This window comes from Homo sapiens, chromosome 11 (assembly GCF_000001405.40).
Source record: "Homo sapiens chromosome 11, GRCh38.p14 Primary Assembly".
NCBI lineage: Eukaryota > Metazoa > Chordata > Mammalia > Primates > Hominidae > Homo > Homo sapiens.
In genome coordinates, this window is record NC_000011.10 from 32,174,855 (window position 1) to 32,188,880 (window position 14,026).

The 14,026-nt window shown below is 45.1% G+C and overlaps 3 annotated features.

Annotated features, from left to right (window-relative positions):
* Window positions 636-2,585: an enhancer, noted in NCBI's record as "PAX6_hs2 or HCNE2". NCBI's record gives its function as "enhancer in hindbrain" and the evidence as "EXISTENCE:transgenic organism evidence [ECO:0001131][PMID:19073165]".
* Window positions 1,090-2,334: an enhancer, noted in NCBI's record as "VISTA enhancer hs113". NCBI's record gives its function as "enhancer in: dorsal root ganglion[4/12]" and the evidence as "EXISTENCE:transgenic organism evidence [ECO:0001131][PMID:17130149]".
* Window positions 1,592-1,898: a conserved region, noted in NCBI's record as "conserved region; ultraconserved element uc.329". NCBI's record gives the evidence for it as "COORDINATES:sequence similarity evidence [ECO:0000044][PMID:15131266]".

Here is a 14,026-nt window from a genome sequence, read left to right on the forward strand (position 1 = left end):
ATTTTTAGTAGAGACGGGGTTTCACCATGTTAGCCAGGATGGTCTCTATCTCCTGACCTCGTGATCTGCCTGCCTCGGCCTCCCAAAGTGCTGGGATTACAGGCGTGAGTCACCGCGCCCAGCCCTTTTTCTTTTTTCTTTTCTTTTCTTTTTTTTTTTTTTTTTTTTGAGACAGGGTCTCATTCTGTCACCCAGGCTGGAGTGCAGAGGTACAATGGTGGTTCACAGCAGCCTGACTGCCTCAGCTCAGGTGATTCTCCTACCTCAGTCTCCCAGGGTAGCTGGGACTACAGGTATGTACCACTATGCCCGGCTAATTTTTTGTATTTTCTATAGAAACAGGGTTTCACCATGTTGCCCAGGCTGAACTCGAACTCCTGGGCTCAAGCAGTCTGCCCACCTTGGCATCCCAAAGTGCTAGGATTACGGACATGAGCCACCATGCCTGGCCTGACTCCCACCTCTTTAAACACAATTTTTTTTGCAACCTGGTATTCTTTAAGTTTTCCTTGCAATGACTCCTATTTCATTTGTCATATCACCCATTTTCTCCTTGTCTGATACTCATGGCTACTTATCTTTAAAAGTGGTATCTTATGTCCATTTCGTGACTCACCCCTACACACACTAACATGCATGCACACATACACACAATTAAGAGCTACCTAAAAGTATAAATTTCTTAAAACCATTCTACAAAAATGAAAAATGAGCTATAGATCCACTGGTAAGAATCCTTTTGAATCTCCCAACAATCTCTACCACCAGTCACATTGCCAAAAATGACCACAGACAATTGTCCCCATCTGACTAATGTCCTCATCGTCAAGAATGGGATTTGCTGGCAGGTTTGGATCTGACATGAGTTGCAACACCCTGATCAGCTCGTGGGGCCTAGGCCCTGTTTTAATTCAGAGCTGGTATTCCTGCAGGATTCCCCACTACCTTCCCCTTCACTCTGCCGGTTTCATTAGGCAATTCTTCCCGATCTAAACACTCACTGTATGGTAGGTTGCAAAGCCACAGTCCCTACCCCCAGCCCCAGAGAGGCCCAGAGGGAAAGTCAGCAGGTACAATTATAGCTTTCACATGTCCTTCTGGAAAGAGGAGTTAAGTGTTATTTTATATATTTTTCTCAGCACCGTGTCAGTGATTTTCTCGGGAAGCACAAGGCTCCTGCTCCCCCCGCCCACATACAATGAAAATTTTATGGAAAAGTTATCCAGAGGAAGGATGGCAACGTTTTGTTTTGTTTTTTCCTGAAAGCCATGTGGGCTATTTTCTACTGCATACTACTGTCAAGAGCGGAATCACAAATAAATCTAAGAAGCAAGGAGAGGGGTATAAAATATAAACAAGGAAGGAAAGAAAGAAGGGAGTTAGCGAAATAAAGAGAGCTCCACATTTATTAAGAAAAAAAAGAATAAATTGGTTTTTTTTTACAAGCGACAGAAATTGGCCTACAAAGGGCCTTTCCTACTTGCATCCCCAAAACCAACCCGCCAAGCTATGGGCATTCATGGCTCTCTTGTGCCCTCTAGTGGGCAAAGGTGGTCCATGTTTTTTCCTTGAGTGACAGCCAGAGTCTCTCATGCACTTGTCGGCCTTCTTATTACATCATGAATTTTGATAAGCCCATTAGCCAGCCAGGCAGCCAGGAGGAGGATGTCTTTCTCACTTGATGACTACACAATGAGGAGTAATATATTTTAATTTAAACACCATAAACCTATTGAGTGCTTAATTAACTTTAACCGTCTTTAGGGGAATGAAGCCAATTTGAGGGGGTCAAAAGGAGTTGTTTCAATATCAAACAGTTTTACATAGTCAATCCATTCATTCGGCCTACAGCTACTGATTAACACACAAAATTAACATGTTAGTAAAAATTCATATTCAGGCCTCTGGGGAAATTAAGATGCGCATGCACAGGGCATGATTAGCACAGCTATTGTTTTCTCCCAACAATATAATTTAATGGGTTTTTAGAATTACAGAAAGAGAGACTCGGTGCTGGTTTGAATTGATTATTTACCACAAAGCTTTGAAATATAGAAAAGATAGAAAACATCTCAAGCCAAAAAGGCCAGCGAACAGAGGCGGATGGGCTCAGAGCGAGTGTATCTCACTAAGGAGGTTGGCGGGATGAACTGATGGAGAGGCAGGCTGGGCATCCCAACTCGACATGAGCCAGGGCCAACGGGACCAAAGAGAGGATTTCTGGCTGCCTGGAAAAGCACAGTAAGGGCTGCCTGCCCAGGGAGGAGGAAATTATTTCATTTAATATGTAATCATATTATACATACAGTCTATTTCCCAGAAGTATCTAAGGCAGATTATGTTATTTAAACATACTAAAAATAATAAATTTTTAAAAGAATTTTTTTTAAAAAAAAAAAGATAGGGAGTCAATGAGAAAGAACAAAGAGCAACTGAGTAAGGCAGTTACCACATTCGCAAAGCAAATTTAGTTCTGAGCTTCCTGGCAGCCAAGGAAAAAGTGCCAAGTACACTAGGATATATGGTTCTCATTACCTGTTGCCTTCAAAGGGATGTATAAGTTTGACTGAATAGATGTGTTTCCTTCCTCATGCTAAATTTGAGAGCAACTGATTGTGTAGTTACTTACAGAAAGGTCACTGAGTAAAAGGACTGTCAATGTGTTTGTCTGTTTATTTATTTATTTATTTATTCTAAGACAGGGTCTTGCTCTGTCACCCAGGCTGGAGTGCAGTGGCATGATCTCAGCTCACTGCAGCCTCCGCCTCTTGGATTCAAGCAATTCTCATGCCTCAGCTTTCCGGGTAGCTGGGACTACAGGTGCCTGCCACCATGCCCAGCTAATTTTTGTATTTTTAGTAGAGATTGGGTTTCGTTATGTTGGACAGGCTGGTCTTGAACTCCTGGCTTCGAGTGACCCACCCTTCTTGGCCTCCCAAAGTGCTGGGATTACAGGCGTGAGCCAACACACCCACCCCTGTCAATGTGTTTAATGACAGCTTAGCAAAATATACAGAAATGTTCTTTAGAGCTTCTTTTGTCAGCACTCCATAACAGGCAAGCACAGAGGTTCAAGTTGAAACTCAAGAAAGCCATTTCTGTAGGGAGGTAAAATAATACTGTCTAGATATATATTTTTTGATAATCCTTCTTCAATCCCTATGGTAATGGTAATTTTAGGACCCAGACAATCAGGAAGCAAAGAGGACTTGGTCTCAAGATGGAATTCACAGGACTTGTACAAGAACCTCATAACTGGCCTGGTTGCCTTCAGTCTCTCCCTCTGTCCAAACCATCTATACATGGCCAAGAAGTGAATCCTCCTGTAACATTTACTTTAATTTCCCTGTATCTGCTCAAAGATCCTCCAATGCCTCCTCTCTCCCCACATGATCTATTTTCAGCCTCATCTCCCAACACCCCTGACACACCCTGCAGCCAACCATGAAGGTCTTTCCTCATGCCCTCCACATGCCTTGTTTAATCCCACCTCTGTTGCTCATGCCACCCCCCCATCCCACTCTGACCTACTTTTCCTCTGCTTTTCCACTTCTTCGAATCCTCCTTCCTCCTCCAAAATTTTCCCCTTCTTCTCAAAGACTAATTTTTCTATCTCAGCTACCTTTTTGTTGCTCCTGAGAAATAGCTTTTAAATTGCCTACAAGGTCATGTTCCTCCTCCTTAACATAGTAACCCAGACCCTCCAGGCTGTGGAACTCCCCCTTTTCCCCAGATTCTCCACCGATGTTCAGCCCTCCATGCTCTGTCCTTTGCCCACCCGTCCGCCTTGCTGTCTAGCCTCTGCTTTCGACCTGGCAAACTCCTTCCCAAGACTCAGTGCGCCTTAGACTTCTGGGAAGCTGTGTGCTGCCAGAGTGAGGCTCCTTCTGCCCTCTGCTCCCAAAGGCCCCTGCACACACCTCTTCCCTAAGCAGCCACAGTTTCCTGTGAATGTTGAGGTCAGCTTCTCCTCTGCCAGCTCCTTGGTAACAGGTGGGATGTTTTAGTGGCTTTTTCTTTTCTTAAATCTCCTGCGGCTGCTGGTGCGTGGCACTTAATAGGACTCGGCAGATGCCACAGAACTACTTCATCGGCTGATCCTCCACCAGCAGCACACCCACCAGGCTCACAGCGCCTGCGTGCCAGGGTGCCTGGGCTCCACTTCTCTGCATGCCTTCATGTGCCTCCTCAGCTGCCTACTGTTGTAGGAAGAACCTTCACTTCTCTGTGTCTGTCCACCTGGCTACCCACTCTCCAATCCCTTATCTCTTCTCTTGATGGCTTTTATTCGCCAAAAAAGCCTGGCAAAGAGGTACAGGGAAACCAGGTCCATGGGACTAGATACAGAAAAAGAGACTGATGGAGAGGACCCAGAGAACATAAGTGACATGGTCTCTTCCCTCAGAGATGCTTTGACTCTAACAGCCTCCAGTTACTTGGAGCCAGAGAAGGCCCAAGGTCAAAAGGTGCTAAAGCCTGGTCCTTTAGCCAAACAAGCAAACCAGGTGACTCAGGTGACTCTACCAGGCTCATGTCAAAGTGATGGAGACAGGGATCCAGTTGGCTCCAGCCCAGGAAATAGGGTTGGGACTCCCAAACAGAAGCGCCGAGGGTCTGGGAACTGAGGCCATGTCAGGATCACTTTTGGGGCAGACTAGCAAGGCACAGGACATTTCACGGTGGCCTCACAGGCTGGGACCAGGCTGGACTATGTCATCAGCAAGTTGTTGCCCCCACAACTCTGGCCTGCCTCTCCTCCTCCTGACTCTTGTTCTCCATTAACCATTTGGTGTCCACTTTTTTGTTTTTGAGACGGAGTCTCGCTCTGTCACCCAGGCTGGAGTGCAATGGCGCGATCTTGGCTCACTGCAACCTCTGCCTCCCGGGTTCAAGTGATTCTCCTGTCTCAGCCTCTTGAGTAGCTGGGACTACAGGCATGTGCCACCACACCCAGCTAATTTTTGTGTCTTTAGTAGAGACAGGGTTTCACTATGTCACTATGTTGGCCAGACTGGTCTCAAACTCCTGACCTCAGGTGATCCACCTGCCTGGGCCTCCAAAAGTGCTGGGATTACAAGCTTGAGCCACTGCACCCGGCCTGGTGTCCACTCTTTTTCCACAGGATTCAGTAGATGCAAACACTTCAAGCCAAATATGTTCATAAGAAAGTCTCTCTGCTACTGGCTGAGGGGAATGTGAGCAAAAGCTTCTCATAAGCACACACTGAATTCTGTCTTCGATCTGTCTGCTGGGTTCATTTTATTGAGAACATGACTTCCCCAAACAATCTGACAGACGTGGCCAATCCTATCCTGTCATGCCTTGGGGGTTTGTACTCTGATCCCTCCCTCCTCCTCTTTACTGCACTCCTTCATTACAGAATAAGTACGTGTACACTGTACTGCCTTTGGGTGGAACGTGTGGTTTGGGGCTGGAGCAGTTACAAAGCTACCAAAGATATCAGCTCTTCATCCTGGGTAGATGAACCCTCCACCCAAAGGGCAGTCCTCGACAGTGCTGGGGAGAAACTGTCTGGGGGAAATTTGGCATATTAGCCAAAAGTCTTTAAAAATGTATGCATTCTTAGGACTCTCAATTTAGGAATTTATGCCAAATAAATAAGCGTGGATAGGTTCAGAGATTCAGCTGTATAGATAATCTTCCAAGGATTGTTTAGTGAAAAGCTGGAAACATGCTTAACCATAGATTGATTCCTTAATGAAATTATGGTACCTATTCAATGGAACACCAGCAGTCTAAAGTAGATTAATGTTTTGGACAGAGAGAAAAAGTGTTCATTCCACATTATTAAATCAAAGCAGCATAGAATAAAATAGTAACTACAGTGTAATCCCATTTTATTTAAAAATAAATTTATGCATGAAAAATGACATTTCACTCAGTGACAGACTGCATGTATGATAGTTATTCCATAGGATTATAATACTATATTTTTATGGTACCTCTTCTATGTTTAGATACACAAATGCTTACCATTGTGTTGCAATTGCCTACATTCAGCACAGTAAGATGCTGTACAGGTTTGTAGCCTAGGAGCCATAGGCTATACCATGTTTCTTAGGTGTGTAGTAGCCTATTCCATCTAGATTTGAGTAAGTCCACTCTATGGTGTTTGCACAATGATAAAATAACCCATCAACACATTTCTCAGAAGGTATCCCCATCCTCAAGCAATGCATGACTGTATATATATGTATGTGAATGTACAGAGAAAGGTCTGGAAGGATAGCTACCATGATCTTCATAGCAGTTACTGTTATATAATGGAATCACGGTGCTTTTCAATTGCGATGTTTCTGCTAATCTGCAATTCTAAAATTTCTAATAATAAGAGTTGTGCTGCTTTTGTAAAAGGAAAAAGGCAACAGGAGTTATTTTCAATGATTTCTTTAAAAACCTGACTATGCAACTGTGGGATGCCCTGCTCTTTATTACAAATATGATCTCTGGATTTTTTTTTTTTTTTTTGACACAGTCTCACTCTGTTGCCCAGGCTGGAGTACAGTGGCGCGATCTCAGCTCACTGCAATCTCTGCCTCTTGGGTTCAAGCAATTCTCCTGCCTCAGCCTCCCAAGTAGCTGGGATTACAGGTGCCCACCACCATGCTCGGCTAATTTTTTGTTTTGTTTTGTTTTGTTTTGTGTTTTTTGTTTGTTTGTTTTTAGTAGAGATGGGGTTTCACCATGTTGACCAGGCTGATCTCAAACTCCTGACCTCAAGTGATCCACCTGCCTCGGCCTCCCAAAATGCTGGGATTACAGGCGTGAGCCACCACACCCAGCCTGATCTCTGGATTCTATGGAACTGCTATCTTACTTGAGTTTCCTTTCTCAGCTAAGATGATTTGCCCCACATAATTGCCCTCTCCTCATCCCATACCCCAGTGGCCATCAGCTGCTCTGATAATCTTGACCCTTCCCCATCATTTTGAATGTCTGAGTACCCCCTTAGGGTTCAGTTTTTCCCAGGCAATCCAACTTGAAAACAGGGCACAGGCAAGGGGGCCTTTTGGAGACATTACCTAAAGGACCACCCACGGCATTTCTCTGTTTTAGAGACAGGGGAGCCCAGCAGTTAAGAAAGCAGAGTTGGGGTAGTGGACTCAGCCAGTGGGTTCATCAAACAGGAGAGTCAAGGCAGTTGCTTAAATTAGAATAAGTAACAGGCTGAAATGAAGGCAGTTAAGATAATGAAGCCAAGAATAGATCTCTAAGAGTTGAGATTCAAGACAGGAAATGCTGGGTATCCATCCTCACATTCCTTTGAAGCAAACCTTGGCATTTTTCTCCAGGCTGTAGAAAGTCTTTGAGATACCTAATGGGGCCAGACCAGAGATGGGGACAAAAAAAGTCACTTCACTGCAAAGAACACCACATTTTCCTGAGCAAGGTACATGTAAAAATACAGGCTAGTGGTGTAGATTGAAATGCCTCAAAGAAGACAGCATGGGCGAGACTGTGACTGCCATCCAGTGTCCATTCTTTCCTTCTTTGCTAACAGAACCCCAGTGTTAGCCCAGGTGCCAACGCACTCAACTAAAAGACTACATTTTCCAGCCTCCCTTGCAGATAGCGTGGCCAAGAGGCCAAGTGCTGCCCAATGAATGGTACGTAAGTGTTAAGTGGGGCTTCCAGAAAAGCTCTCCAGGGGAGCTGACTCAGCTGGAAGTGTTGTCCACCTGTCCTCCCCTACTTGCTCCTTCCTCCCGCCCTGATGGTTGAAGCCCCAGCAACTTTCCTAAATCACAGGTGACTTTAGGATGGAAGCCTAGGTGGAGTGAAAAGACAGAAGCCGGGTCCCTGTCATACCAGCTATGTCTGCCCTCTGGACTTCTTTTATATGAAAAATAATTGCAATCTTAAGTCCCTGTTATTCTAGATTTTCTGCTATACATGGCCATTCCTATTCCTTGGTGCTACAGTGGGGTCAACAGTTACTCTGAAGGGAAAAATAAAGGAGGAAAGGAACTTGAAATTCTAAATTGTGGTGGCAAAGAAAGTCAGCAAATACTTCAAAGATTCCTTCTAGGCTTTTATGTGCTATTATTTAAAATCACAAATGCTGGCATTTATGCAACTGAGGGAGGAAATGCATTAGTAGCACAGAACTACTAATGGCAAGTTATTTCACTTAGAAGATGTTTAACACAGGTACCATAATTGTCACTTAATAGGTCAGAGAACCAAGAGAGACCTGCCTTTGTGTGTTTGAGCCCCCTCTCTGCAGATCACAAATATTTCCTTTTATGTTTAAGAAATGTAATTATGTCTAATGCAAATTACAAGCCAGAATACCACCACAAAGCTTACTGCTTTTGTGCCAGTTTAGTCCTTTCATTATTTTATAAATGTTGCAGTTCTCAAAAGGCAAAGCTTACCTCCCAAGACCTTTTGGAGAATGTTTAATCATGCCCTCCTCAAACCTAGTCAGTGAGTGTAACACTCATGTTGGACAAGGCTTCCAGATGGCTTTTTAACCACACCTTCCCCAAACTGAAGCTTTCTGCTACCTCTCTGTTGCCTCTTTCCTGCTTACCCTCTTCAGGTCGGTGTCCCCTCCTCCAGGCAAAGCCCAATCTTTGGGCTCATCTCTGGCATTCCCAAATGATCTACTGCTAACCTCATTCATAATAAGAGCTACCACCTATTGACTCCATGTTATGCACCAGGCACCGTGCTCATTAGTGCTTTGTGGGGACTATCTCATAACCCTCATAAGATCCCTGTTCCTGTGAGGAAGGAACAGGGATCCTCAAATGAATGAGGATACTGAGGCTGAGAGAAGCTAACAACTTGTCCTCTGCCTTGGAGTTGGTAAAAGATGATGCAACAATTCAAACCCAGGTCATCTGGCCCTAGAGGCCAAGTCACACTATTTTGTAAACTAGTGTACAGTCTCTTTATATATTGCGTACTTCCCACCTTTTCCAGTGCCCAGCATCCAGCGGTACTCAATAAATGCCAGCTGAATAAGTGTCTGGTCCAGCATCATTCATTCCTATCCCACTACACAGACTTGGATTAAAAATTACCAGATGAGAGTGAGAATTAGTCTCCATGCTTGGAAGAAGCAGCCCCAGAGAGGTGTGGTTCAACCGGAGTCTGCTTACCAGGAACACAACCCACTGCTGAGGAAGGAAGCCCATTTCAACCATTTCAAGGTGCATCCTTACTGCTGGGAAATAGATGGTTAGAAAGAGATTCATATTTTTTCCTCATGATTCTTCACAGAGACGAAATAGAACCAACAGTGGCTTGAAAACATGGAAGGAACAGCAACTGGAGGCTGGCCAGCCCTGTGCTCTGATTCTGGAAGACAATGGCTCCAAGCTCTGAACTGGATTTAGAGGGTATCCTTTAAGAGGCTCTGGACACTCCCAGGGGCAATTCGGCTTGGGCTGGAACCAGAAAGGGCTCAACCAATAAAGAATTTCCTGAGCCTCACAATGAAGCATTCCTGCCCTAGGAAGAACCAGGCAGAACCAGGCAGGAGAAGTGAATTCTCAGGAGCAATGAAGAAGGCAGGCCTGTCCCTTGAGCCTCCAGACAGAACTACTCCATGAGGGCCTTCTGGTGTCTCTCTGTCTGTCTGTTTCTCTCTCTCTCTCTCTTTCCCTCCCTCTCTATCTCCCTCTCTGAAACTATCTTGGCGAGCTCACACCAGCAGGGAGACAGCCCTCCCAGCCCAGGCGCAGGAAATGGCTGCCACGACAGGCGGCCATGCCAAGTGGGAAGTGTGGCTTCCAGCAGCAGCACCTGGCCTCCTGGCAACTGCTCAGCCAGGCTTGGAGAGGTGCCTGAGCTTTTTTGTTCCTGATTTTTGACATCTCCCCCACCCCACCCTCCACTTCATTTTTTTTTCCCCAAAAAACCATCCTCTTAAAAGCCTCCCCCTGTGGCCTTGTGAGGGGCCAGAAGGGGCCAGTCCTAAACGGCTTCCCTCTTCTTGTTACAAAAGCTATCTCTGACTCTTCAGTTAACCACAGGCTAAAATCTAGCCTTCTTGAAACTGCAAGTTTCATTTGTGAAAAGAAAATGAAATCTCCTTTTCTCTGGCAGTGTAACGAGGCTGCTTTTGTTAAGGCTGTGTGTTTGGGGGCAGCTATCCGGCCCCACAATGGACATCGGGCAGGACCGTCATCCGTCTTCCCAGTGACCACTCTGAGACATCAGCATCCTGAAGAGGGATGAGGTAGGCTGGGGACACAGAGGCCCATCACCTCCTTGGTGTTTCTCCTTTCTCACCCCCGACATCTGCAGTCACCAAGCTCTGCAAACTCCGTGTCTGCAATAGCTGCTTTGCCGCCTCTTCTGTGTACCTGGCGCTAGAATGCCAGCCCTCAACATCTCTGGTCTGTGTTACTACAACAGCCTCCCATCTCTCCCCTTATCATCCCTCCTCCATGCTGCAGCCCTAAAGCACAGTGTGATCATGTCTCTTCCACTACCCAACTCCTCAGAACCACAATCCAGCCCAAATCTACTTTTCCCTCCTCATCAGCATCTTGACAGTTCCTTCCCTGACTTCCTCTTGCACTCAATCCCTTTGAGAACCATCTCCATGGACACTTTCAGTGGGTTTGTGTTGTTGCCCTGGCCTAAAGTGTGTTTGCCACATTCTTGTTTGGTTTGCTCCCCATTCTTCAAAATCCAAATCAACATCATCCCTTCCACCTACTGCAGGCTGAATGAATCACTCCCTCCTTTGAATTCTGTAACGTTTAATTCCTTTTTAAAGTTTTGATTCCAATTTCCTTAATTGCCTCCCTCATGGGATTATGAGGTCTTTGAGTCGAGAGCCTGGGTATGAATTCATCCTTTGTATTCCCAGCACCAAATAAGGCACCTGTCCTAGTTTGCGTCAGACAGCTTTGGGAAATGAATGGCAATAATGGAGAAGAGGAGACTCTGTGCACAGATACTAACCTGTGAGCCAGGCTCAGGTAAAGGAGGAAAACTCACCTGAGACATCCAGAAAAACCCTGGTGGTACTCAGTTAGGAGTCCCCTGCCAGAGACAGGTCTTTGGGGAATGACAAGTCTCCTCAGTGAGCTTGAACTTCAGAGCCTTCCCACTTCCCTTGGGCCAGATCTCTCACATTCCTGAGTCACGCCTCTCCATTTCTGAATTTGTTTCCTCAAACATCTTCTTCACCCTGATCTGCTCAGATGGCCTCCATTTCCAGTTGCTTCCTAGCTGTGGGTTTGGTGCTAGTAGAAATGACCTTGGCCTATATCGGGCCTCTGAGTAACTTGACTTCCAGAAGAAAAGGCCTGGGATCTTTCTCTATCAGATATAATTCAAAAGACAGGACGATCACCTCCTGTGCAGGTCATGTGGCATCAGGCTGTTACTGCACAGTGCTGTGGGTTAGGGGAAAGGAGGATAGGATCTGGCCCACTCTGTGGCTCCTCTGTCACTACAAACTCATCTTGATGGAAACCAAACTCGTTAACTTCAGTTCCTCTATTTCAATTACCTCTGATAGCTGATCAGTAACTGGGTTGTGTCAACTCACTTCCACAGTCACAAATATCCATCTCCCCCTACTCATTTCTACTTCCACTTAGCTAGGGCCCCTTCATCCTTCACCTGGGCTACTGAAATGACCTTCTAGGAGATGACCTCCTAGCAGCCAGTCTTTCCTTCCCCTGTCTGGCCTTCACATTGACCCAGTTGTCTTCCTAAAATACAAGCTGATTATGTCACTCTGCTGCTCAAAATCCTTCAATGGCTCCCCACTGCCTACAGAATAATGTTCAAACTCCTTCAATTGCCACTTGGATCCTCTAACAATGTAGTCCCAACTGACTTTTGTCACCTCACCTAGCGGCAAGCACCTTTCCCTCCTTCCCAACATAATGATCCTTGCTCCTTTCAGTCCAGATAAAATATTCCATTCTCTCCAAGCAAAATTAATTCTTCCATTCACAGCATTTCCACAACACACATCTTATATCTTAACTGAGCACTTCTTTATTCTGCCTTCATTATATGCGGCTGTTTTCATAGCAAACTGGCCCTGTAGATTGCAAACTCTCAGAAACAAGAAGCCTGCCTTATCCACCTTTGCTATCCTCCACGTTGCCCTGGGCATGACACACACTCAGGGTATTTCCATTAACTGCAAATGACACAAGTGAATCAAAGAAGTTTTGCATTGTGTTTAAATAGGTTCATATAGGTTTGGAGGCCATTGTGGTCAGGATCATGGTATGAAGCAGTTCTGGATGAGAAAATGGCTCTTAAGGAATTCACAGTATATTTGAGATAATATAGGTGAATGTCCAGACACTAAAAAGCCACAAAGTAATAGAAAGAAAAATAATGTTCTTCAAGCATGCATGCAAAATGAAGCAGAGATTGCACACAATTTATGCAGCACACAGAGGTATTTTCATGCCATGACTCTGAATCACACATTTGAGATTTAAAATACCTTCACCTTTGCTTGGGGGAACAGAGACTCTGAAAAGTCTTACTATTGCTGCATGTGACTGGTAGACTGTATCATCATAATCAGTCCACATAGGGGAGTCTCCCCAGGCAGCATAACCTACTGGTTATGAGCCAGACCACCTGAGTTCAAATCCCAGCATCACCATTTCCTAGCTGTGTGACTGAGCAATTAACTTCTCTGTGCCTCTTTTTGTTTCTCCTATAAATGCAGAGAATAACAAATGCCTGCCTCATTCGATCTTTAGAAGAATTAATATAGATAAAGGGCTTAGAACACAGTAAACTCTGCATCATCACTGAGGATTATTATTATTATTATAAATTTTTTTTTGAGACAGGGTCTCGCTCTGTTGCCCAGGCTGCAGTGCAGTGGTGCAATCTTGACTCACTGTGACCTCTGCCTCCCAGGTTCAAGCGATTCTCGTGCCTCAGCCTCCTGAGTAGCTGGGACTACAGGCATGTGCCACCATGCCTGGCTAATTTTTTGTATTTTAGCAGAGACGGGGTTCACCATGTTGCCCAGGCTGGTCTTGAACTCCCGAGCTCAGGCAATCCATCCATCTTGGCCTCCAAAAGTGCTAGGATTACAGGCATGAGCCACTGCGCCTGGCCATCACTAGAATTATTTTTAACTATACCTATGTTCTAGAGAGACAGAGGGTCAGACAGATTGTCCAGCTGATAAGCATTTGTATAATACCTAGTATTGAGGTACTGTTCTTTCCTTCTCATGTTTTCAGGATCTACTGTTTAATGGGAAGTGTCTTCTTTTTTTTTTAAGTGGCTACCATCTGTTAAGGGCTTACTCTTTTTCTGATTATATCAATGAATCTTGGATTCCAAAAAAACACAACATGGTAGCAAAGAGCTTAGGTCCTGGAGCCAGGCTGCCTGAATATTTTTGTAGGTGCCTCCATTATGTGACTTAACTTTTCCAGATCTCAGTTTCTTCATCTGGAAAAAGAGGTTAATAACAGTTTCTACCCCCTCCCACCAGTGTGAGAAGTAATGAGTTGGTGCATGTAAAATGCTTAGAACAGCACTTGGAGTGTTGTTAATCCTCAATAAATGCCTCTATTCCTATTTAATAAACAGGTACTCGGCACCTACTATGTGCCAGGCACTGTGCTAGGAGCTTGTGATCCAGCAGCAAAAAGGCAAAGTCCCTGCTTGCTGGAGATGTAGATACTATTATCATCATCATCAACCTCTAAACTGAGGCTTTGAGTGGTTAAATCTGCCTGAAGTAAGTGAACAGTGAACACGCTGGGGTTTGAATCCAGGCCAGGCTTAACCTCAGGACTATCCCTCTCCAACATGGAGCCCCTGGAGAAGGGAGGTGTTAGCTTTCACTCCCTCAGAACCCTAGAGACCCTGCTCAATGTCTGCAGAATTAGAATCTCAACCCCTTAGGTTGTCATTCCAGATACGTCAACCATGGTGCCAGTCATTGTCACACTCTGTCATATGGAAAGTAGCCCAAGGCAGATCCACAAGCAAGACAGAGCTGAGAACTGGACCATGGCTGAGCACTTGGCCTCACAGC